Source organism: Homo sapiens, chromosome 9, assembly GCF_000001405.40.
Source record: "Homo sapiens chromosome 9, GRCh38.p14 Primary Assembly".
Taxonomy (NCBI): domain Eukaryota; kingdom Metazoa; phylum Chordata; class Mammalia; order Primates; family Hominidae; genus Homo; species Homo sapiens.
In genome coordinates this window covers 89,710,780-89,737,354 of record NC_000009.12, presented here as the reverse complement: position 1 = coordinate 89,737,354, position 26,575 = coordinate 89,710,780, and the positions used below count along the sequence as shown (strand labels likewise).

Here is a 26,575-nt window from a genome sequence, read left to right as displayed (position 1 = left end):
CCTGCAAATCAGCAATTCTAATGGAGGTTTATACAAATTCTACACAAGGTGCAAAGGAGCACAGGAAAGAGGACATAAGGCTGCAGAGGGTCAAGGGGTAGGGAAGAAAGGCTTTATGGAGGAGAGAGCCCCTGAGCTCTCTAGCAAAGTCCAAGGCCTGGAAGCTCCCTTCCAGCTGATGGCACAGGAATTCTGGATGCTGAAGTGCCATAAATGGAGGACTTGGGGGAAGGGGGACTTCTCCTTGAGCCTTTTGTGCTTTAGGGGGTGCCACAGCTAGTGGTCATCAAGGGGGCTTTGAAGCCAGCCTGGGTGGCCACTTCTCCCCAGTGTGACCCTCCCTACACTTCATCTTTGCATAGGAAATGCAGTTTCCCTAGCAAGTGCTTCACTGCAAACAGCAAAACCCTAAAGAAGGTGGAGAACCATGTCCTGAAACAGGCAGGGACCAGCAGTGACTTCCTGCCATGGGCTGATGGGATGAGGACACAGCCCCCAGGTCTGAGCATCCTGGACGCTGGCCCCCTGCATCCAGCATGACTCACTCAGACACAGACCTACTAAGAGTGGTGGAGACTAGTGGGGACAAGAGACCACGGTGCTCAGAGCTCTCACAATGACGGGAGCCAATGGAAGAGTTTCTGCAAGGCTGCTGCCCTTGCCTCTAGTGTAGGGCCTAGTGTTGCTATAGGTCAATAGCTCAGTGGGAGCTGAGAGGAGACTGGCACACAGTGCACACCCAGCACCCTTCACCAGCCTCAAGTGCAAAGGCTCAGGCTTCACTGTTCTGCCACCCAAATCCTGTGTGTGGCACGCAGGCCTGGGACCCCTCGATAATTCGTGCCTCCTTGGGCCCATGTCTTTGTCGGCCCCTTTCCCTGAGGGCAGGCAGAACCTGAGATCTGCATCTAACCAATAGTATATGGCAACCATTAAGGCAGTCCTCGGTTGTCATGAAAGTCCCAAATCAGCCGGTTTTGAGTTATCAAAAAGGAGATTATTCTGGGAGGGCCTGACTTAATAGATGAAAGTGCTCAAGAGAAGGATCAGGGCCCTTTCTGACATGAGAGACTTTCTCCCCATCACTGGCTTTGCAGAAAGAGCTGCCATGATGTGAGAGGGCCATGGGACAAGGACCTGCGGAGACCTAAGGAACCGAGAGCAGCCCCTGCTGACAGCCAGCAAGAGTGTGGGGACCTCAGTCTGGCAGCAAGAGGAGGTGAACTCTGTCAGCAACCTGAGTGAGCTTGGAAGCAGATTCTTTCCCAGTTGAACCTCCAGCCTCCAGATGAGACCTCAGCCCTGTGACACCTGTTTTGCAGCCTTGGGAGACCCTAAGCAGAAGACCGAGTCAAGCCGTGCCTGGGATCTAGATGTGTAGAAACTGTGGGTGCTGTTTTACCCTATTTAGTTTGTCTTGCAGCAGTAGAAAACTAATATTCCAGGGCCTTCTGGAAAAATGTCATTGCAGCCTAGCTAGATTGGTATCATTCTGCACCACACCCAGGCTCTTTCTAGTTCATGTAACCCCTAAAACCTCCAGGTCCCAGTAAAGACTGGGAGTTTTCAGGGATCTCTCCGGAATGAGCAGGGCCTCTGAAGATACCTAGATACCAACCTGGCCAACCCACACCTTGCCAGCCACTGCCATTGTACTGCCCAGTGTCACAGCAGATATGGCCCAAGTTGCATTCAGGCTTTTCCTAGTGGTTTGCAGGCTTGCTAGACTGTGCTGGACCAGAACGGATATTCCTACAACGCAAGCCTAGCTGGGTGTTCCTACCACATCCTTCTCCATCCCTGCGTGTCCCACTTAAAAGGGTTGCCAGGACCCCAGAGCCAGACCCAAGCCCTGCCCTCACCTTTCTTCCCTGTTTTTGGTCTGTAAGGAGCTGCCTCGTCCCACAGGATCTTTAGGTCCATTTCACTATAGTCAGAAATGTCTCTGAAGCACGAAGAAAGGCTGAATATCCACTAAACTGAATACGAGTTTTGTCTTTTGAGCATAAGCAACGTGGATCTCGGCGTGTTAAAAACGGACACATATGAATGCTTCTGGGCCCCTGCTGGGCTCACAGGTGGATGGAGTCTTGACCACAAAATCTGGGCCAGATAACTATCCAGAATGTCTAAACAGATCACCAAAGACAAGACCATCTCCAAAACGAAAAGTAAGAAAGCTGACTCTGAGCAGCAGTGCTAAAGCCCAGGCCAGAGCAACAGACATTGTGACAGAGGGCTTCAGTGCCCACGCTGGCCTGTTATTGGGCATATGCAGTTTAAGAAACCCTTACTTGTTTGCTATGCCTCCGAAGAAGCTATCAGGCTTAGAAAATCACAAAAGGGAACCAAAGGAAAAATAGGAAACTAACAAAATTGACAGCGTTTGCCAATGGCTTCCCAACACCGGCTTTGCATCAGCCAGGGAGGTTGTTAATAGGTGGAGCTGCTTCTGCTCTTGCTGTTTCCATGAAAGCGTCCGGTGTTTCTGTATTGCACATTCTGATTATGAAATTTTAAAACCGTAATAATGTCTAAAGTGACTATGACTAGAAGTATTCTTCTTTACGGAAACTAAAATCACAACTGTCAAGGGAACGGGTATGCCTGGGAATGCTGACTTCCCCAGGGCCCTTGCCAGGGCGCTTGCAGCCCTCTCCACTGCTCCTGGCAGCCACGCAGCAGTGACCTCATGTGTGTTTGCCCTCCAGGTCCACCAGCTGCAGTGACCTCGTCACAGGAATGCTGCACCACTCTGATCATTCAGCAGCCATCAATATCCAGGCAAGACCCTCCGCCAGCAAAGAGATTACAACTCGCAAAAGGCTCAGATAATCATTAGCATTTTTTAACAATAAAGTATTTTTTATTCAGCTATGTACTTTTTTAGACTTAATAGCATTCCACATTTAGTAGACTACAGTATAGTGTAAACAAACCTTTTTTCTTTTCTTTTTTTTTTTTTTTTTTGAGACGGAGTCTCACTGCAATGCCCAGGCTGGAGTGCAATGGTGTGATCTCGGCTCACTGCAACTTCCACCTCCCAGGTTCAAGCGATTCTCCTGCCTCAGCCTCCCGAGCAGCTGGGATTGCAGGCGCCTGCCACCATGCTTGGCTAATTTTTGTATTTTTAGTAGAGATGGGGTTTCACCATGTTGGCCATGCTGGTCTTGGACTCCTGACCTCAAGTGATCCGCCCGCCTCAGCCTCTGGGAGTGCTGGGATTACAGACGTGAGCCACTGCACTCGGCAAACGTAACTTTTATACGCACTAGAAAACCAAAAAATCCATGTGACCCACTCTATTGCAATATTCATTTTATCACGGTGGTCTGGAACCAAACTCACAATGTGTCCAAGGTATGCCTGTACAGTAAACTTGCACTATAAAAAATGTTTCTTAAAACTTTGGTGTGTTCTTCTTCATTAAGACACTAAATAGCAGTAATCTATACACTGCCCTATTGAAGTAGTGCTGAGCATACATGAACTATCAAGACGTTTGCAACAACCACCCTGAAAGAACATTAGCTGTGCTTCTACCAGAGGTCAGAGGTGCCATCAATACAGGGGATGGAAATGCTGAAGTGCAGTTAGATGTTAGTGAAAACCAAGATAGAATCTTTCCTCATATATGTTCACAAATCCCCTGGATTTTATCCGTGGTCTTGCCAGACCGTGTGGTGTCTTTTTCCATGTCCCCAAGCAGGATGACATAGTCTGCAGCATTTGCTTCTGGACCTGGTTCCGTGGAGACACCCAAGACTGGGCATCCCATTGTGTGCATGCACCTTTGTCTGGATATGAGAAAGAAGAGGAAGAGGAGGAGAAGGAAGGAAATGAAGAGGGAAGAAGGAAAGAAGGGAAGAAAAAGGGAGAGTGATAGAAGAGACTGTGGGGTCCTCCCCTCTTCACTTCATCAGCAAGGGGCCAGGAGGCAAGGACGGTAGGTTCAACTTGTCCATGACCTTCAGACCCAGACAGACCGCAGGTCCAGGGGCATCCCCGCACAGGCCATTAGGACCCGACCTCCACCAAAGTGTCGGAAGGAAACTTCACAAAGCTCCTCTGCAGCCAGACATTCTTTTCCAAGCCCACCTGACAGTCTCTGCCCCAGGGTCAGCTCCTGACATGGAGTGTCCTTGGTATGAGGCCCGCAGCCCCATCTGAGCCCACCTCCAAGCCTCCTCTGCTCTGTGTAGAGCCAGTGAAAGGGAACCTGAACAGAATGTGGACCACAGCCAGGGGAGGAGAGAAAAGCCCTTGGAAAGCACTAAATACTCTCCTTGTTCCAAAAGCCCCAAGGACAGCAGAATTATCTGGAAAATGAATTCCCAAAAATTGATTCATGGAGGGGAAAAAGAATTTTTCCTATGATTCTTCCTTCAATTTAAAATTTCTAGGCAAGTACACATTGCAGCCACATAATACACCCTTTCCCCATTAATAATCGTGATTTTCAGAAGAGAGGGTCATTTTTCCTGTTATTGTTGGTCACACCTGCCAGTAAACAAGCTGTGTGTGCTGTGTGGGGGTCAGGGCAGAGCATTCAGACTCTAAAAGCTAGACCCCGCGTGTCCATGACCTTGGGCTTGCCCAGCTGGACGGGTTTCCATGCACTCCACATCTGGATTCCAAGAACAGACTGACATACAATGTTCCAGAGCAGACTGATGTGGATGAGGATGCCCCATCAGAGAAAACATGGCCCATTCTCTCCCAAAGGCTAAATTTTTTAAAAAGAGGATAAATAATTACAAGCTACTTTTGCAATGTTTCTATAACAAAAGTGGGATTTGTAAATCTCTGAATTGTTCAAGGAGGCTTGTCCGCAACCCCCCTGAGTCATGACAGGAAAGGAATTATTTATAGCCCAGGACAGTTTGTTTACATACTTGCCTAGTTCCTGGGCAGAGTCCTTCCTCCACCTGCACAGTAAAAGTTGCTCATCAAAAATAGAAAATTATTGCTTCCTTTTCAACTTTCCCTGAAAGCACTGAGAAGAGGAAGGGGGAACACAAAATATATTTTTACTAAAGGGTTCTTTCCTCTCCAACTAAAATCTTATCCAAATGTTGCTTCCTTAATCCCCAGAAGGAAACAAAAATCCTGAGCTCTTTTGTAGAATGATTAGAGACAAAGTCCTGAGACTCCACACCTGATTGTCCCCAAGTCCCAGGGGGGTTTCTGAAACTGCCTAGGAGATGCTACGGGGGGCTGTGAGAATGTAAAGGAGCCCACCACCCAAGCTGGGGACCTTGAGACCGGCCTCTCTTTCATCCAGACCAGCCCTGCCTTTATCTGTTGTGCACAATGGCATTTAGACTGCTTCCACTGGTAAACTGGAGTTTGAAAGTGACAGGAATGGTTGATCAAGCAGGCCCTTGGGGCTCTCAGATGAATGCACCATTCTGTCACTTTGTCCTGTATGGTTGCCATCCATACAGAGAACACTGGGCTGAGCAGCCTCCTGCCCAGCCTGCTGGAGATGCCGTATCCACATTAGGGTGAGACCTAGAGGCACTAGGGGCAGCAGGAGGGAAGGGGGAAACCTGTTCCTTCCTGAGAGTTGTAATCTCCTTATAGAGAGAGATGATCCAGAGAGGGAGCTGGCGGGGTGGCATGCAGCTATGAAGGTGCTGAGCTGGCAAGAAAGCAGCCACGCAAAAGGTGGCACGGAGGGCAGGAAGCCTCAGCAACACAGAATAGGCAAAAGCCAGGACAGCTCCTCTGGGACCAGGGCAACTGGACATGCTCCAGGTAATGCAGGTAATGCAGGTAACGCAGCTGAGTGGGCACCAAAAGGCAAGAGCCATGTTAGGGAAGAGATCAGGTTGGTCAAATACACCACAGGCTGCTAAAAAGGGAGCTCTATTACTAAGCGTTAATCATAAGATTGGAGAGATTGTTGAGAAGTACTTCACACTTGAAGAAGACATCTTCAGGAGAAAATGAAAGGAAAATGTGGGTGGGGAGAAAGATCAGGTTATTCTATTTATTTCCAACTGGGTAATATGGTATATATGACACATACACAGATAGATAGTTGGATGGATATATATATATATCATAACGAAAAAGATCATCTCTCATATGAAGGTCTTGAGCCAGGACCCACATGCACCACACTCAAATATTATACCATGAATTTCCACAGACCAAAATCTTTAAAGCACCTACAACTGGAATTTTCTTAGACTAAAATAATTTGGCTAGGTAACAGAATTCAGCTACTTGCAAGAGTCAAAGGGGGACACGTTGTTTTATAAATTAACTAGAAACATTTCTTGAGCCAAACTAGAGATGGAGTTATTGACACAACCGGAGGGCAGAGCTCACCAAGGGCACCGAGACTGGCCGCTACTTAGCTCACCTAGGACCTCCCACGCCGCCCACAGGCCGCACCACAGAGCAGCAGGAGACACGTGTTCCAATGTTGACCGAAAGGCAGGTGGAGGCCAGAAAGCATGCTGCCCACTGACACTGGGCCCCAGCCACAGAGGCGGGACAGAGCCACCAGCTCCGCCGCTCCACCACCCCCAGCTCGCTGGGTAAACACACTCAAGCTGGAAGCCTGGTGTCCCGGCCTTCTCACGAGACTGCAGGAAGCAGGACGGACGAAGTTTACTAAAATCTAACATCCTATGGTACGTGGGATTTATTTTTTTTAGACACTATCCAGGCTGGTTTTGTTCTCCCCACTGTTTAACTGTATTTAGTATACAACCTGCAAATAAAAATATACCTGGGCTAGCCCTGATCCAGGGTTTGGAGGCAGTATGATCTCTGCAACATCTGCAGCAGAACCACTGGGGAATCATGAAGATTCCTGGCTCCTCCCTGCCCTGCATACACACTCACACACACACACACACCCCATTCATGCACCATACACACATCATACACATACCATACACACACAAACCACGCACACTGTAAACCCACATGCAGCACACACAGCACACACCCCATTCACATACCAGACACACACCATACACACATCATACACATACCATACACATACAGACCACGCACACTGTAAACCCACACACACCACACACAGCACACACCCCACCTACACACAACACACACACGACTCACTGTACATCTCACACACACTGTATGCCACCTACACATGCCCCCCCACACCATATACCACACACACACCATACACACCACACAAACCCACACAAGTACACTCCACACACGCATACACACACCATACATATACACATACATCCCACACACACATACATACAGCACAAATTACACACACACCACACATACATACACACACTATACACCACACACAATATACACCCTACACACACATACACACAGCACAAACTACGAACACACACTCACAACTACACACATTACACACACCACAAAAACTATACACCCCACACAGTATACACACCCACACACACATACACACAACACAAACTACACACACACCACAGAAACACAGAAACGCACATTATATGCACCATACAAGCTATATACCCCACACACAGCACACATTATACACCCTCTCCACCACACACACACACACACACACACACACACACACACGAGTCCTGTATTAGAATTGTTAGGAAGTGGCGCATAGTAACCTCCATTTTAACACCCAATCCTGAAGTTTGAGTCACAGCTTTTACATGAGCCAGGCTTCAAACCTTTAAACCCCTTTGATTAGTGGGCAGGCAGAGGGGAGCTTTAGTGGATAACAGCAAAGTGTGTCATGCACAGCACCCCATGTGGGTCAGCATCCCATGCCATTTTCATGACAGCCCTAGAAGCTGGGGATTGTCACTGTGAGTCTCAAACCCTACAGGTTTGCAAATGTACAGAATCCTCCTATCTCAGGAATGCCTATGGTTCCTGAAGAAAATAATATATACATGTAGCTAATCTTGGCAATTCCAGAGGCCAAAAAAAAAACAATGTCCCGCAGTCATGAGGTCATGGCCCTTCTTGTGGTGAGCTCATCAGTCCCAAGCGCCAGGAGGGCTCTCCAGGCACTATCTGAGCCTCACAACACCCTTGGGCAGCCCCACCTGGCCCTGCACTGCCTCCTTCCCTTCTTGCAACAAAAAATTCCATGTCAAGGCAAAGACTGATAACGAGGGTGATGTAATTAAAACTCCCCAGGACCAGACTCTCCACCCTGACTTTTCAAAAGGTCTATTCATCCCATCAATATCTTAGAAGGATGGGCCACATTCCTCCCTCCCAGTCTGCGGAAGCTATGGGGACAGGCCCAGGGGTGAGCTGCGAGCTCCCTCACCCCATGGAAAGGGCCCCTGCTCTGTCCCCCTCCTTTGAAGGTTTCTTCAGAGACAGAAGCTGTTCTTCCTTTGAAGGGAGGAGGCTTAGTGAGAGTGGGATGAGGAGGGGACTTCCAGGGACAAAGCTTTGCTGTGGTCCAGGAATTGTGGGGAACCAACATGTCCTGTTTCCCTAAATTACTGCAGGGAGGGGCTGCAGGGCCCCAGGAGACACCAGCACCCTCCTACAGCCTTCCCGGCAGCTCCAAGGCAATTTCCTCTCCCTTCTTCCCCTCCTTGGCCTTCCAGAGGGGTTTGAAGAGTCCTTCACCATGTCCTCTGGGGAGCACATGAAGATGATGACTTTTTTAGGCAGTGTCTCTTCTATTCACCTTGACTTTGGCAGCACTAATTTTTCAAAACCCATCTCAGTGTATATATACCTTCCTGTTTAATTTTATAAAAATTAGCTCACCAAACTCCACCCTGGAGTAATTCACCAAAGTCACAAATTCACTCGAAAGAATTTATCCAAGGAGTCTGTGGATGGAAGTCAAAGAGTCTGAGAACTTGAATGGGGAAAGAATTCCATCTTTATTTCCAACCACCCTCTAATTGGAATTGAGCCTTGTCTTCACTGTGATTTTAAGTACCTTCACAGTAGGATTTGGGATAGCTGTGATTTTGTCACCACAGAAGCCACAATTATTTGAGCAGCTCATTAAAATTGTTGCAGATGTCATAAAACTTTGTTTATGTATTTATGTATTTATTTAGAGACAGGGTCTTGCTTTATCACCTAGGCTGAGTGCAGTGGTGCAGTCTCAGTTTACTGCAGCCTCCGCCTCCTAGGTTCAAGCATTCTACTGCCTCAGTCACCTGAGTAGCTGGGACCACAGGCATGAGCTACTATGCCTGGCTAATTTTTGTTTTTTATATTTTGTAGAGACGGGGTTTTTCCATGTTGCCCAGGCTGGTCTAGAACTCCTGGGCTCAAGAGATCCACCTGCCTCCTAAAGACTGGGATTATAGGTGTGAGCCGCCACATCCAGACAAAATTTTGTATACTCTACCAATCCTTATAGATGTGAATCTTTAGCTAAAATTAAAATAAAATAAAATATTAAAAAGACAATAATTCTGGTTTTTCCTCTTGGAAAAAATCAGTAGAAAAATCTATGTGTGTGTATGGTGGAAGCATCAGGAAGACGGGGCTTTGCTGACACTGCTTCATTTATACTGCGTTCCCAGCATCTAGACTAGTACTGTGCATGGTAGGTGTTTAACAAACACAGTACTTACTGAATTTAAAACACTAGGTAAACTCGTAAGTGCTTACAAATCTATGGATTTTATTGACTTTTTAAACTGCAAAAGTAATGCATGCTTGTAAAACATCAAATGTTAAATTTACACAGCAAAAAAGACGTCTCCCTTATAATCACCCCATCTCCCCTCCACACCCCCCTGCCAGCCTGTGGTCACTCCTGGTAGCACTCTGGTGTGAATCCTCTCAGATCTTTTCCCACTTATTTAAAATGTGTGGGTTGAGGAGGGTGGCTTTTTTGTTTTTTGTTAATAAATATATAACAAGGTGACTGACTGAATATGTAATTTGTATTTTGCCTTTCTTTTTTCCTGCTTTTAGCAAGAGAAACTCTGGAGTTTTCAAGCAAAAGTTTTCCATGACTCAGGGGGAGGCATGAGAATAAAATATATAGCCACTCACTTGTTCCAGCTTTTTGTGCCTAAGACCTCCAAAAGAAAGAAATTGCCAGGAGAAGGGGCTGGCCTGAAAGCAGTGTATAATATAAACGGGTTTTCATGTTCTGAAGATTCAGCCCATGATGGGAATGAAGTTACATGTCTCAGACAGGGAGAGAAACTAGAGTCTGGGTCCCATGGCTGAGAGGTGGAGAACAGAGACAGCCCTAGGCTGTGTGCCCTGGTTTGGGTCACCAGGGAGAAGAGGTGGGGATATGAGAGGAAAGAACCCCCTCCCCTACAACCTTCAAGTGGCAGGAACCTGGAAGCCCCAAGAACCAAGTAGCCTAACCTAGTCCCAAGCCTGCAGATGAGCCTATTGATATGGTTTGGCTGTGTCCCCACCCAAATCTCACCTTCAGTGGTAATAATCCCCACATGTCAAGGGTGGGGCCAGGTGGAGGTAATTGAATCATGGGGGTGGTTTCCCCCATACTGTTCTCGGTAGTGAAAAAGCCTCACCAGATCTGATGGTTTTATAAATGGGAGTTCCCCTGCACAAGCTCTCTTGCCTGCCGCCATCTAAGATGTGACTTTGCTCCTCATTCGCCTTCCACCATGATTGCAAGGCCTCCCCAGCAATGTGGAACTGTGAGTCAATTAAACCTCTTTCCTTTATAAATTACCTATTCTTGCCAGGCGTGGTGGCTCACGCCTGTAATCCCAGCACTTTGGGAGGCCAAGGCGGGCGGATCACGAGGTCAGGAGATCGAGACCATCCTGGCTAACACGGTGAAACCCCGTCTCTACTAAAAATACAAAAAATTAGCCGTGCATGGTGGTGGGTGCCTGTAGTCCCAGCTACTCGGGAGGCTGAGGCGGGAGAATGGTGTGAACCAGGGAGGTGGAGCTTGCAGTGAGCCAAGATCGCACCACTGGACTCCAGCCTGGGTGACAGAGCGAGACTCTGTCTCAATAAATAAATAAATAAATAAATAATCTGTTCTTGGGTATGTCTTTATTAGCAGTGTAAGAACAGACTAATACACCTATTAAGGAGAAGTGGAGTCACAAGAACTTCCCAGAACGTCTGGGGCAGGAAGCCAGGCAAGGCAAACATAGTCCCTGACACCAAGCTTGCCAGGCTGCAGGAGACGGTTGCAAGGGAACAGACACTGGGATCCACCCCTGCCTGGCAGTGGAAAGGCAGAGAATCTCTTGTTTGGATTGCATAACCCCTGGGGGTGTTTGGGTGATTGGGGAGTAAGGAAACATCTTGAGAAGGATACAGGACCTCCCATTAGTCTGTATCTGGGAACTCAAGCTGATGCTCTGAAAAAATCATGGCAGCATTTGTATTCCAACATACCTAATTTTGTCACTTAAAAATTTAGCCTAGGCTAGGCGCGGTAGGGATTAGCCCTGTAATCCCAGCACTTTGGGAAGCCGAGGCTGGCAGACTACTTGATGTAAGGAGTTCGAGACCAGCCTGGCCAACATGGTGAAACCCCATCTCTACTAAAAATACAAAAATTAGCTGGGCATGGTGGCAAGTGCCTGTAATCCCAGCTACTCGGGAGACTGAGGCAGGAGAATCACTTGAACCCAGGAGGCAGAGGTTGCAGTGAGCCGAGATCATACCACTGCACTTTAGCCTGGGCAACAGAGCAAGACTCTATCTCAAAAAAAAAAAAAAGTTTATCCTAGCTATCTTCCCACACCATCACATATACAGACACTTCAATACTCTAACCAATGAATAGAATTCTAGACTTTGTATATACCATAATTTATTTACCAATCCTTCATTGACACTCAGTTATGGGTTTTCCCCAATGATTTCCCATTATAGACCAAGTTCACTTCTTGAACTTGGGTTTTTACAATCAGATGCAATTCTTTCTAAAAGCTGGAATCCTGAGTGGAATGACAGGCAAACAAGGTGGGCAAAGTTCCAAATGTGTTGACTCTTGACAAATTGCCCTCTGCAAACAGTATGTGAAAGTGACCACTTCAGCAAGCATTGTGTTATTGCAGTGATGTTGTAGACTAACTTGGGGGAGTGTGGTATATGAACAGTTTTAGCCTTTTACCGAAGAGTCTCCTGCATTTCCCTTTGTTCAAGTCTTCTTTTAGATCTTTCAGTAAAGGTTTTTAGTGTCCTATATATGGGTGTATTCGTTTCACTAGGGGTACCATAGCAAAGTCCCACAGACTGGGTGGCTTAAACAGAAGAAATGTATGGTCTCACAGTTCTGGAAGCCAGAAGTCTGAGATCCAGGTATCAGGAGGGCTGGCTCCTCCCCAGGCTATGAGGGAGAAGCGGTCTCAGGCCTCTCTCTCACCTTCTGGAGGTTTCCAGGAGTCTCTGTCATTCCTTGGTTTGTAGAAGAATCACCCAAGGTCTACCTTTACCTCTATGTGGGGTTCTCCCTCTGTGCTGGTGTGTGTCCAAGTTTTCCCTTTTTATAAGGTTACCACTGGCCATGTTGGGCTAGGGGGCCCTCCCTACTCCAGTATGACCTCATCCTAACTTAGCTAATTAAATACAACTGACAGGACTCCACTTCCACAGTCTGAGGTACTGGGGACTAGGATTTCAACATCTGTATGTGGTAGAGGCACAATTCAATCCATAACAATACGTATCACATGTGTCTTTTTTTGTTTGAGACAGAGTCTCTGTTGCCCAAGCTGGAGTGCAGTGGCGCGATCTCAGCTCACTGCAACCTCTGCCTCCCGGGTTCAAGTGATTCTCCTGCCTCAGCCTCCAGAATGGCTGGGATTACAGGCACCTGCCACCACGCCTGGCTAATTTTTGTATTTTTAGTAGAGACGAGGTTTCACCATGTTAGTCAGGCTGGTCTCGAACTCCTGACCTCGTGATCTGCACGCCTCGTCCTCCCAAAGTGCTGGGATTACAGGCCTGAGCTACCATGCCCACCTCACGTGTCTTTTTATGTGTATTACAAAATATTGTGAGTTTTCAATAATAGTATGAATAGGATTGTTCTTAAAATTACATCTTCCTGTTGCTGGCATTTAGAAAAATGCTTACATTTTGTAAATTTACTTTGGATCTGACTACCAAATTATGTCATATTAATCCAAATAAATTTGATTATCTTGTATTTTTACATGCAAATAAATAATTAAAATTGTGTCTCTTACTTTTAAATATTTATGTCCTTTTCCCTGTTCTTGCAGTGATCTTAAGACAATGTAAAACGTCTAAATTTGTTGTCAGTATCCGTATTTTTTCTGACAATAAGAGAAATGCTTCCAAAATGTCATTATTAAATATGATACTTACTGTATGTCTATTTTATGCACTTTTTAAAATATTTACATTTCAAAGTTTATACACATAGGGATTAGAAACTCTGTGTGTGTGTGTGTGTGTGTGTGTGGTTTTTAGCTTCCAAACAGATGGAATTCTAAGTAATCTATCAAGGACCTGGCCATTCCATTGGAAGCCTGCCATGTCAGAGTCTCTGGGGTGTGCTTCCTCTTGGATGAGATTCTTCAGATAAGAATTCTCCAGTCTCTTTCAACGGGGCAGGTACATGCCTAGCCCCGTGTATGGGAGCCAAGCAGAATGGAGAAGATCTCTCCCTGTACTGGGCAGACTCTCCTCTCACTTTCCCCAGCTGGGTCTGGGGTTTCCTAGTGCAGAGTCTTGTCATTCCATTTCTGCTGAGAATACATCTCCGACTCCTGCTGGTGTGGCTGGGATGGTTGCATGGCCATATTCATGAGTAAGATTAGGAAATACTTTTCTTTTTTGTTCTATTCAATCTTACTCTTAAGTGTGTTTCTCCCTTTGTGGAATTACATGCAAAGGTTTTTGGGGTTTTGGTTTGTTTTTTCCTTTTAATCCCCTGAAAAATATTTTAAATATTGTGGGAATTGGCCACCGCTTCATTAGTCTATAAAACTGTGTGTGATGCCTTTTATGGAAGTAGAACTTTGACATTTTTATTTCTTCTGTAATGTTTGGTACACTCAGAACTCTTCTCATTCTTGAGGCAGTGTGATTGTGTTTTCTGAGAAAATCATCAATTCTATGTGGATCTCCAAATTTATTGATTTAAAAAGGACATCTTAACCTCTTAGAATTGGACTCTTTTTTTTTTTTTTTTTTTTTTTTGAGACAGAGTCTGGCTCTTGTCACCTAGGCTGGAGTGCAGTGGCGCTATCTCAGCTCACTGCAACCTCCGCCTCCCAGGTTCAAGCAATTTTTCTGCCTCAGCCTCCTGAGTAGCTGAGCTTACAGGCACCCACCACCACACCCGGCTAATTTTTGTACTTTCAATAGAGACAGGATTTCGCCATGTTGGCCAGGCTGGTCTTGAACTCCTGACCTCAGGTGATCCGCTAGCCTCGGCCTCCCAAAGTGCTGGGATTATAGGCATGAACCACCGCACCTGGCCTATAATTGGACTCTTTCCACCTCCAAGGCTGTATTCTCCCTTATCCTACTTGATCGGGCTTATGAGACAGGTTGTGTGTGCTTGTGTGATTACTGGGGAAGGGAGGGGTTACCAGACTGAGGATTCATGGACCTTATCTACTGCATTTCTTTTACACTTAACATGACATTTCAAATACTACTGCATTTGTTTTTCTTGCTTCTTTCCTTTTCTTTAGGCTTACTTTGCTTTTTATCTAGCTTCATGGGTTAAGTACTTCGTTCAAATCTTTTGAATCATATATGTTTTCTATGAAATGATTTTAGGTTATATATTTTCTCCCAGAGTCACCTGGCTGTATACAATCAGCTCTGATTGTTCTGCCCTTCCTGTTCACATCAAAACACCATGCCTTTAGCTTTGATTTCCTCTCCTATACAAAAGTAACCTCGAATCTTGTGCAAATCCAACTAGAGGAAAACTAAGCCAGGATTGCGGCGCCTCTGGGCTGTCTTCTCTTGCTTAAACCAGTTTAAATCCAGAGCAATACTCATAGAAGAGGACATCAGGAACACAAAGACAGCCTCAGGTGGCCCTGGTGCCTGTGCCTGGTTTAGGGTGCTTAACTCAAAGGCACCAGGCAGAGGACCAAACCAGGCCAAATCAAGGCAAAGCGGGACAGCCCTTGACAGCGGCTCTTGGCCACTCAGTAGGGAAAAGCCCTCCCTGGGCAGCAGAATCAGCACCTTTCTGGCAGGCTGGGGGCAGAGCACGCTGAGTGAAAGTGGAGTGAGGGCCACCCGGCGGAGCAGGGAAGTAGTGGGAGCCGGCAGCCAGGGCAGCTGCCCACTGCTTGCAGGGCCCTGCAGCACAAGGGCCCCTGGAGTGGACTGACTGAGAACCACAACCATCTTCCTTGACCTCATGAGAGGCCCTCTAGTCCAGATAACTCTGACAACATCTCTGAATTGTTTAATGTTGTTTTGGGGCTACAAATGGTTTCCAGGGCACTTCGAAACACATAATTTGAGATTGATTTAGGAGCTAAAAAATATGGTATGGAAAATGCAATCACACTCTTCTCCTTTCCCCACTGGTCTTTGCATCCTAACACCCAAACCCCCAAATTTATGACACCCCCCTCCATCATCTCACTGGCTTATCATGACAGTCATTCTGCAATCAGGCCTTTCTTTATTTCTCCTCTGGAAGGAACTCCTGGGGGCTATCATGCGTTTAATGCCCAGACAGCTCTGCAGGTCTGAAAGTCACCCAGATCATAACCTTTGGGCCCTGTTCCACCACCTTCCCCAGCCCACCCCACCTCACCCCATCTGTCTTGCAAGCCCCATCAGCCTATCAAATTTTACGACCCATTCTTCACTCTGCTTAGTATCTGTTGACCCAGGTTGCTAAACAGTTTTACACAGCTGTGCAGCCAGACCAGAAGTCGGCAGTTTCATATCTGTCTGCAGTAAAGTTGGCTTGATGAAGTGGTTTCTTGGATTGCTCCATTTAGGATTTCTTAAATCAGCTGGGTCTGACACTGCAGATTTAGTAGACGTCCAAGGGGAGGCCAGAGCAGTGAGCCCTGTATTGCCCTTACACACACTGGACCTGGACACCCTCAGACTCCACCTGGCCAGGGAATCCCAAAACTCCCTTTTTGCAACAGGTGGGACCACAGCCATGGCTGTCAGGAAACTAGTTAGGAGTAATTCATGGACTGTATCTAGTGGCCCTTAGGCCTCTAAATGTGAGGAAATCTGATAGCTGCTGGAGCCAGCGTCTGCCCAGGTTGCTCCAGCATGCCCTACCAGGGAGGCCAGAGGCCTCGTGCATGTCTGTCCTGCCAGGAAACTCCCGAGGAGGGCCGAGGGCTAGGGGCCCACAGTGCCCTTAGTCTGCCCAGGGGGAAGGGGCCATCCCCAGAGACCTACAGACCACAAAAAATGCATTGCATGTGTGCACCCATGCTCACAGCAGTGTAACTCACAGTGGATGACAGGTGGAAGCAATACAAGTGTCCATCAGCTGATGAATGGATGAAAAAAATGTGGTCTAGCCACACCATGGAGTATTACTCCATCCCAAAAGGAAAGAAATTCTGACACATGCTACCACAGGGATGAACCATGACGACATGATGCTCAGTGAAACAAGCAGATCACAAAAAGTCAAATACTCTATGACTCCACTTACTGGAGGCACCTAGGGGAGTCAGATTCACAGAGATGGGAAATGGAAAGTGGAATGGTGGTTTCCAAAAATGGAACAGGGGGTAGCTGTTTAGTGGGTATAGAGTTTCAGACTTGTAAGACAAAAAAGTTCTGGAGATCGGCCTCATAACAATGTGAATGTCCTTCACAGTACTGAACTGTACACTTAAAAATGGTTACGATAGTAAATTTTATGTTGTGTGCTTTTCACTACAATTTAAAAAAGAAAAAATACATCGCAAATGTATGATATGATCCATCATATACTTGCCATCAACAGTGCTTGAAGTCCTTCAGCTCTTGGACTGCACACACCAAGAATCCCACCTTGATAAGTCCGGGTACTGCTGGTGTGGAATTCAGCAACACAGAACGCCTTTCAGCTAATATTTGCAGGTGTCTGTCCCTGAATTTTCAGGTGACAGTGATTAAAGACCTGAGATCTGTCTCCCACAGGGGGCTGAGATGCTTCAGCCCAAAGCCCCATAGCCAGGAAGGGAAGAGCTGCAACAATGAATCCCCACGCGACAACTGAGCCCCGTCCCTGCTTTCCTCCTGCTCCCTTGTGAAGATGAAAATACTTGTAAGATGCTGGGGGTCAGGGCAGGAAGATAATACTGCCTTCCAAGCCCAGGCATTGGCTTTAGTGGCCCCGTGGTGTGGTGAGATGCCCTTAGCCACCTCCTTTCCTCTAATGATGTGGGTTCAGTGCACTGAGCTAAGCAGTTCCAGTGACTGCCAGGGAGCAGCGGTGAACCAAGCACCAGAAATACCAGCACTTAGCACCAGGCAGCCCTCAGAGCCTGCTTCAGGCTCCAGCTTTATGAGGGTGGGTGGGATGAACATTAGGCAGCAGACCTGGATAGAGTAAGGGGCACATGGCTCGCCTCCTCATTGTACTTTTCTTCTTGACAAGGACCCTAAAAGCACAAGACTGGGGACCTATTGCTAGAGAAAAACCACCCCCAAACACCTAGAGACCCAAAATGTAGTGTCTTAAAATAACCACCATTTTTATTTTGTTCATACATCTGCAGTTTAAGCAGCGCCCAGCAAGGACAGCTTGCCTCCGCTCTCAGAGCATCAGCTGCGGTGGCTAGGAGATGGGAGGCTCTGCAGGATCACTCATTGACGTGTTGGGCAGTTGATGCTGGCTTGGCTGGGACCTCGGCTGTCGTGGCCTCTCTGTGTGGCTGCTGGGCTTCCTCCCAGCATGGCAGCTAATGTCCAAGAACAAGGGCCTTGAGAGTCAGGCAGAGGCTGTGTCATCTTTTCTAATCAAACCTCAAACTCACACATTGTCATTTCCACCACTGAAGCCAGCCCGTATTCAAGGGAGGAGGGTTAGACTCTATTTCTGGATGACAAGAGTGTCCAAGAATTTGCAGACATGCTTTTAAACCACAGCTCTTGGCAAGTTACTTGTCACTGACTACGAGCTGGTCTCTGTGTGCCTTAGTATACCTGTGTGCAGGTCATCCTGAGGTTTACACAGCTGATGGAGGCAAGTCTCTCAGCACAATGCTTATCCATCAGGGGATATTTGCTATGGATCATCCAGCCCTGCAGATAGAGAGGCTGGTTAGCATGATTGTCATTTTATAAAAGAGGAAGATAGAGCACAGTGAGATGTTGAGAGTTGTTTGAACACACCAAGCTTGTTAGGGAAAAGATCAAAACCAGAAAATATTCTCCCCAGCCAGTTGAAGGAGTTTCCCAAAGTTCCTGAAAGCAGATAAAGGCTTTTGCTCAGTTTGTGGAGAAAACCATTGCTAAGACGGTACCGGAGAAGAGTCACAGCAAGAGGCCTGTGCTGGAGCAGAGGGTCTGAGAGCCAGGAAGCCAGTGGGCAGGGCAGTCAGCTGGGAGATATTGGGAAACATGAAATACGAAGGAGCCAATATGAAATGCTGAGGAGGCCATTTTTGCAACCTACTACATTTTGTTAATGGTTTACACACCAGGCAATGACCCTAATGCCCCTGAGGATTTGGAGAGGGCCAGATAGTGATAGCCAGCCCTGAAGTTGCAGACTTGGAATGTGGGAGGAAAGCAGCCCTTCTGCTGATCTCAACTCAGGCCCCACACCCCAGCTCGAGCTGGTCTCACGATGTCCACCGTTGCCTCCCAGGCCTTCAGGGACCACCCAGCACAGCTTTCTCCCTGCTGGAATCTGCAAACCACCTTCAAGGAACGTGGCCCCTGTCATGCTCAGAAACAACCTAGAGACACGACTCTCTTCCCTCTAGCTAATGGAATGTCCACAAAGCCCAGTCCAGTGGCCTCAGCCAAGTGCCCCAGGGCCTTGTCTTCAGCGAGGGTGCAACCTTGGCACCTCTGGGAGTGGAGGAGACCAGGATCACTCTGATGGCTCTGCCCAGTGACTCACCCCAATGTCCTGGTGTCCCCTGAGGATACCTCTCCACTTGTCAATCACTGCCCTGAACACCCTGGCTGAAGGCAAGTCTCAGAGGTGAGTCAGTTACCTTCACTGAAGTGGGGTGAGTGTGGTCATGTGCTGACCAAACTCTTTCTGATTTTTCTGTGTCCCTAAAAGAATTGCCCACAACACTTCCCTGGGGCCAGACCCCTGCCCTTAGAGGCCTTCCTGAGTCCAAGTCCCCAACCTACCTAGTAGGTTGTACATGTGCTCTTTGGGAGCGAAAGTAATGAGTTACCGGCTCACTCTTTTGGGGGGATTACATCATTCCATTAGCTAGTAGGGAACAGTGTATTCCCCACCGGATCTTGGCAGCCTACCCTACCTCAGATGTTCTTCTGACTGTGAACTTGCCACTCACCCTTCAAGAGGAGGAACCCAGGTCCTGCTGCCAACCTGAGGGAACCTCTGTGCCTGCCTCCCTCAACAGGGTTCAGCAGACATGGCCTGCCATGTCTGCCAAGGCATTAGCCTGGCTCACTCCCTCAAAACGCTTGCTCTGAGAGAACAGCTGCCATGTTGTGAGGAAGCCCAGGGCTCACAGAGGCACAAGGAGGGGCTTTCTGTGGCACAACCCTGGCTGAGCTCCCAGCCACGGCCAGCACCAACTTACAGCCAGGAGAGGGTGCCCTCTTGGACATGAAGCCTTGTGAAGCCTCCACAGCTACTGCCACAGGTATGGGGAAGGCTCCATTCCCCCAAAGAAATGAAACAAAGTAGTATATGCTTCCTGCCCCAAAAACTGCAGAGGAGGCATCTCCATGGGGACCTCTTATGTCTTAGGCCCTGTGGCAGTTTCTGAAATGGCTCACAATGATTCTTAGCTCCAAAAATTCATACCTTCCCCATATATGCATGCATCTAGGCATATTTTGTGTGACCACGTGTGTGGGGGAGGTATATATGTGTGTATGTATGTGAGTGTGTGTGTATATATATAATATGTGTGTGTGTCTATGTGTATGTGACTAGGTATGTAAGTGTATAATTATGCATGTGTGGGTGTGTGGGTGTCTATGTGTGTATGAATGTGTGTGGTGCGTGTAAATGTGTATGGATGTACATGGGAATGTGCATATATGTATGTGTATGAGTGTATGTGTGAGACTATATTTCTGTGTGTGTGAGTATATGTATGTGGGTATATGTGCATGTATGTGTGTAGATGAGTATATGTGTGTATATGAATGAGTGTGTATGCAAATATGTGTATGGGTGTATGAGTGTATGTGTTCGTGAGAGTGTGTGTATGAATGCATATGAGTGTATGTGTGTGCAGGTATGTATATGTGTGTATGTGTGAGTGTATGAGTGTATGTATGTGTGTTTGTGTGTGGGCATGTATGTGTGTGCACATAAGCTGGACCTAGTGAATGACAAATAAATGAAATGAATAAACATTAATAAAATATGACGAAGCTGGCAGGATGTCATTTCCAAGGTCACCTTGTAAAAGACTGAGTTTAATCTTGCTTTCACTGTCTTTTGCCTTCTCAGCTTGCTCATTTTGATGAAGCAAGCTGTCATGCTGGAGGGTCCCATGTGGCAAGGAACTGAAACCCTCTGTTCAACAGCCTATGAGCGAGAAGCCACATGAGTTTGGAAGTAGATCCCTCCCTAGTCGAGCCTTGAGATGACAGAGCTGTGACTGACACCTTGGCTGTAGCCTGTTCCAGACCCTGAAGCAGAGGATCCAGTTAAGTTTTGCTCAGATTCCTGAGCTACAGACATTGAGATAATAGATATGATTGTTTTAAGATACAGTGTTTTGGGTTAATACATTATATAGCAATAGATAATAAAGACAGATTTTAGTATCAATGTAATGTTGCGGTAAAAAATGCCTGAGGCCGGGCATGGTGGCTCACACCTTTAATCCCAGCACTTCGGGAGGCCAAGTCATGCAGATCACAAGGTCAGGAGTTCAAGACCAGCATGACCAACATGGTGAAACCCAATCCCTACTAAAAATACAAAAATTAGCTGGGTGTGGTGGTGCATGCCTGTAATCCCAGCTACTCAGGAGGCTGAGACAGGAAAATCGCTTGAACTGGGGAGGCGGAGGTTGCAGTGAGCCAAGTTTGTGCCATTGCACTCCAGCCTAGGCAACAGAGAGAGACTCTGTCTCAAAAAAAAAAAAAAAAAGGCCTGAAAATGCAGAAGTGGCTGCAAAACTGGACAGTGGATGAAAGTGAATGGATTTTCAGGTGTGTGATACAGAAAGCCTAAACTGCTTTGGACATATTGTTAGCAGAAATCTCAGCTTTGGGAACACTGCCAGTGAAGGTTCAAGAGGAAGTGAGGGACATGTTATAGAAAATTGGAGGAAGGGGATTCTCATCACATAGTGGCAAAAGGTTTAGCTACACTGCTGCTTGCAGTTATGCGGAGTGCAGAACTTGGACCTAGCAAACTGTGTAGTCTAGATAAGAACTTCAAGGAAAATGTTGAAGGCATTACCTGGTTCTTCTTGCTGCTTATAATAAAATGTGAGAGGGGAAAGTGAAACTGAAGAAAGAACTGTTAGAAAGACTTGATGACACAGAAAATTCTCATCCTTTGCAAATAGCAAAAGATGCTAAAATTAAGAATATCTAAGCAACATTCAAAATTTTCTAGAAATAAAGGCAATATGTGATTGTGCAATCTTTTGTTAAAATCTCAGAACAGTCATAATATCAGAGTACAATTGAGACACCTGAAGGGCCCTTTTAAAAAATTGTGTACCCACAATTCCTCTCTATTGAGTCATGGGGTCTGTAAAAAGCATAAGGGTGTCGTCCCTAACCTTTCTCAGCGGAAGTCCAAATTAGAGAGGAACACATCTCAAAGAGATAGGTAACTGTGGCTTTGAAGCCACAGTTTAATTTATCTAATGAAGTGGGTTCCAGTGAGATTCATAGAAAACCCACAAATTGTCTGAAAAAAACTACATCAGCAAAAGCACTTCCAGCTTGAACTAAAAGGGACAGAGCCAGGGCAAAATGAAAAGAGGCAATTGGACCTCAACGTTTGACCGGCAGGAAGGAGGCTGAGAGAACTGCTCAGAGGCAAACACATTTTGTCTTTCATAAAAAAGTAAGTATACTAAAAGGACAAAAGTAGGAGCCCAGAGGGTAGAGCCAAGAGCCACAGAGAATGATTCCCAGGCCTTGAGACCTAACCAAAAAAATTCCAATGTTTTCCCAGCTGTACTTCAGAATTGCTATGGATCAGTGCCTACTGTGTGCCTCCCATTTCCCCTTTTATGAACAGAAAAGATTATACTGTTTATCCCATGCCTGTCCCTCCATTGCATGTAGAGTGAGTGAGGGGAAGATAACTTTTGTCTTGAGTTCATGAGTATAAGACTGAAAAGTGCTGTACTTGAGGATCTGTACTTAGGCAACCTCATCTAAGGAGCCTCACTCATCCCCTGGACTTGATTTAAATGATGAGATTTTTGACTTTGAGCTGGTGCTGTAATGTAATGAGATTTGGGGGGACCTTGTAGGACATAAATTATTAAGAGCCAGGAACAGCCTAAGTTAGGCAGCTCCCGAAATGGTTCCCAGGGGTCTCCACCTCTTAGAGTTTACACTCTAATGACCCTTTCTCTTTGCGGAGGTAGGAAGCTGAACCTGGTGGGTAGCTTCTAATGAACAAAACACAGCAAAGGTGATGGGAGGCCACTTTCAAGACAGCGCTATGAAACACTGTGACTTTCCTCATGCTTGAGCTTGCTCTCCTTCACATGCTCACTTTGTTGAAGCAAACTGTCATGCTGAAGAAATCCAAAGGGCAAGAAGCCAAGGACAGCCTCCAACCAACAGCCAATGAGGAGCCAAGGCCCTCGGTCCAACAGGCTGGGAGGAACTGAACCTGCTTGTAAGGATGCAGTATGCAATGGACTGAATGCTTGCATTCCCCAAAATTCACACACTGAAATCTTAATGCCAACGTGATCGTTTTAGGAGGTAGAGCCTTTGGGAAGTGATTAGGTCATAAGGGGGGAGTCTTTATGAATGGGATTAAGTGTCTTTATGAAAGAGGCCTCAGAAAGCTTTCTCATTTCTTCTGTCATGAGAGGACACAGAGACAACATGGCCATCTATGAACCAGGAAGCGGGGCCTCAACACGCACTGAATCTGCCAGCACCACAATCTTAGACTTCCAGCCTCCAGAACTGTAAGAAATAAATGTCTATTTTTTAAGCCACCAAGTCTGTGCTATGTTTTGTTATGGCAGCCTGAACTGACGGAGATACAGAGCTTCCTCCATTCAAGCTTTAAAATGACTACAACAGGCCAGGCACGGTGGCTCGCACCTGTAATCCCAGCACTTTGGGAGGCCAAGGCGAGCGGATCACCTGAGGTCGGGAGTTTGAGACCAGCCTGACCAACATGGAGAAACCCCATCTCTACTGAAAATGCAAAATTAACTGGGCATGGTGGCACATGCCTGTAATCCCAGCTACTCAGTAGGCTGAGGCAGGATAATCACCTGAACCCAGGAGGCAGAGGTTGCAATGAGCCGAGATCGCGCCATTGCACTCCAGCCTGGGCAACAAGAGCAAAACTCCATCTCAAAAAAAAAAAAAAAGACTACAACAGTCCCAGTCAACACCACAAGGGACCCTGAAGCAGGGGACCCAGGTAAGCCTGTGCACCATTGTATATGCCCAGATCCCTGACTTGCAGAAACTGGGTGGTAATAAGTGCTACTGTTTCAAACCATTGTGTTTTGGGGTATAATTAGTTAAGCAGAAATAGATGACTAAAACGTCCCACTTTCCAGGGGAATAGGGGATTACCTGGGTACAAGTAATGACCTTGGACCAGTCTCACCTGTGACCCCCAGGAATCCACATCACTGAAAATGCTTATTTGAAATGAGGTTCAAGGGGTGGTCCTGACCTTCCCAGACTAGGACCAAGATGGTTCTTATGGACACTGCTGCTTGTGAATGGAGGTGAGGGCAATGGCTTCTGATTCCCCATAGCTCCCCATAGCTCCCGTGAGGGCTTCTGTTACCATGACACCTTGGATCTATACCTATGCCATGCCTCCCTGGTCCCTGAGAGCAATGTCACTGTCACTAGGGATCTCAGAGCCCATTCATGTGTCCACTAGCAGAGAGGGGCCACCGCACCTGCACACTGACCCCTCAGCCAGATTGAACCCAGCAGGCTCTGGCTTCCCCAGGGTGAGTGTAGGAGAATTAATGCTATGGGGGTCTTGATGAGGTGAGAGATGCCTGGTAGGGAATTCCCTCCCTCCCCTGCCCCACTGCTGGGCTGTTCTGAAGCCCAGTTGTTCTCTCGGCCTATCTGAAATGCCCCACAAGAGGCACAGGTGCCTGTGGCCATGTGGCTGCTTGTCCTCCTAGGACACCCCACCCTGCCCCTGCCCCTCACCCTGCTTTCCTGGGCTTCCACTCCCTGCAGTCATCACAGGAGCCTTTGCCTCAGGCTCTGTTTTCAAGCTGAAGATGGCACTTCAAAAAAGCCAGATGAGGCTCTAGACCAGGCCAGGTTGGAGGACTACAGCACCAACTGTGATCCGGCAGTGGGAGCAGCCACCAGAGTTTCTGCCCCTGCATGAGGCTCCTGAAATGCCCCAGCAGGAGTAAAGTCCCTGCATTCCCTAGACAGGGGTGGAGCAAAGGGGCTTTTCTCAGTGCTCAATGTGAGTCCCCAGCAACCAGCAAAGAGGGGATGGCCATGTGGCAAGGACTGACAGAGGGGACCTAATGCCCAGGGCCACCCAGAGAACCCTCAAGTTCTCCAAAGAGCTGCCTGCTCACCTTCTGTGAGGCATGGGCATGGAGCTGTGCTTCTGCCCCACGTGTGCTCCAACAGTAGCTCTGGCCGCGGAGGGAGGAGGGAGCCCAGGGACTTTGTGACACTGTTTTTCACCGTAAGCTTCCTTAAACAAACAACATTGCCACGAGCCAGAATTAATTGAACCCACATGCCAGTGTTCTGAGTGGCTGCCTCTATGTGTATGTGTGTATAGAGATATGTAGGTGTGCATGTGTGTGCATATATATGTGTACTGTGTACTTGCATATCATGTGTACATGTGCATTCTGTGGTGTGCTTGTATGTGCATATGTGTGTGAGTGTATATGCATTGTGTGCATATATGTGTGTGTGTATGTGTAGTGTATGTGCATGCATGTATATATGTGGGTATGTACATAGGTATGTGTGGATGTGGCTGAATGTGTGTATGTATGAGGGTGTGTGAATGGGTGTGTAGGTGCATGCATGTACATGGGGGTTGGGCACGTGTGTGGGTGTGTAGTGTGTGTGGATGTGCATACATATGCGTATGTGGGTGTATTGTGGATGTACCTGTGTGTGTGTATGCATGTGTGCATGGGGGGTATGTACATGGGTGTGTAGTGAGTGGCGTGTGTGCGCATATGTGTGCGTGTGTACAGAGGTATTGGTCTAGTCCTCCCCAGCGTGCTGAGCCATCGCTCAGGGCTAGCAGTCACTGCTGGGCTATGTGTTCTGCACTAAATCGTCACAAACAAACAATGTTCCCAATTTACAGATGAGAAATCCAAGGCACAAGGAGGTGAAGTCCCTCACCTAGGCCATGGGGACAGCTATACAGCTTGGGTGGTGACACAGACCTGTGTTGAGATCCCTGGCCTGCCACAGCCTGGCCAAATGGCTCGCCTTTCCTTTACCCCTCCTTGGTAATGTGAGGACAAACTGCTCACCTGCAGGACCTGTGGGGAATCTGAGAGCTCTCGTGTGGGGAGAAGCTTGCCTGGTGTCTGAGAGAGCAAGTGCCCCTCCTCGTTCACTCACAGGAACTTCCTGCACACCTACTCTGTGCCCGGCATCACGCTGGTGCCATAAATCCAGCTCCTGGAAGCAGAGCTCAAGCATGGATTCATGTGATTTCTAAAGGGTTTGCTCCTGGATAGCAAAAATGGAGGGAGAGGTGTGGGGCAGGGAAGGGGAAGAGGCCAGGGTACAAGTTCAGTAAGAGCCCCAGCCCCTACCTGATCTCACCTGCAGCATCGATCGACAATGAATGTTTAAGCTGTGACGTGGTTGTTTAAGCTGCCTTGAATGGTCCGTGGTGCTCGTTGCAGAGACCCTAGCAGATGAAGACAACCCCAGGCCCCCAGAGCAAAGGGAAAGCAAGGCCTCTCATCCTCGCTGCCTGGACTCCCCCGACCGGGCACTCCATCTCCCCAGGAAGGAGTGTGGGGAAACAGCCCCGTCTACACTGGGGACAACCCACTTCCAGAAGCCCCTGTCCAATACTTTTACCCTTGATTTTTCAGCCTGGAGCATTTTATAGGAAATATAATCCACATGGCATTGAGTCACTGGGCCTGAGCTCAGCAAAAGTTGTTTTGTAAGAAATGTTTTCTATCCACCAGAGGCCTCTTTTCTTAGAAACAGGAAGTCATTTTTAGCCAAGAATAAACAAGCTTGACACTAAGCAGGTTAGTTTTTCACACAAAGCCCCTGACGGACTTTGTGGACTTCTTAGTCATAGGTTGGATTTCCTTTTCGGACT

The 26,575-nt window shown here is 47.3% G+C and overlaps 1 long non-coding RNA gene across 1 annotated transcript in view, besides 2 other annotated features; it reads right to left on the bottom strand.

Moving 5' to 3' along the window:
* Nucleotides 1–17,595: 17,595 nt before the first annotated feature.
* Nucleotides 17,596–26,575, bottom strand: part of LINC03062 (long intergenic non-protein coding RNA 3062) — a 79,977-nt gene continuing 70,997 nt past the window's right edge. Inside the window, exon 6 of the long non-coding RNA NR_024280.1 lies at nucleotides 17,596–18,168. This is a non-coding gene — a long non-coding RNA (long intergenic non-protein coding RNA 3062). The remainder of the gene's footprint in view (nucleotides 18,169–26,575) is intronic.
* Nucleotides 19,547–19,758: a silencer, noted in NCBI's record as "fragment chr9:92332512-92332723 (GRCh37/hg19 assembly coordinates)". NCBI's record gives its function as "represses an EF-1alpha promoter that drives an FKBP-Casp9 reporter gene in an ReSE screen in HepG2 liver carcinoma cells {active_cell/tissue: HepG2}" and the evidence as "EXISTENCE:reporter gene assay evidence [ECO:0000049][PMID:32094911]".
* Nucleotides 24,580–25,080: an enhancer, noted in NCBI's record as "H3K4me1 hESC enhancer chr9:92327190-92327690 (GRCh37/hg19 assembly coordinates)". NCBI's record gives its function as "activates a minimal SCP1, AML or CMV promoter by ChIP-STARR-seq in naive H9 embryonic stem cells {active_cell/tissue: H9 hESC(naive)}" and the evidence as "EXISTENCE:reporter gene assay evidence [ECO:0000049][PMID:30033119]".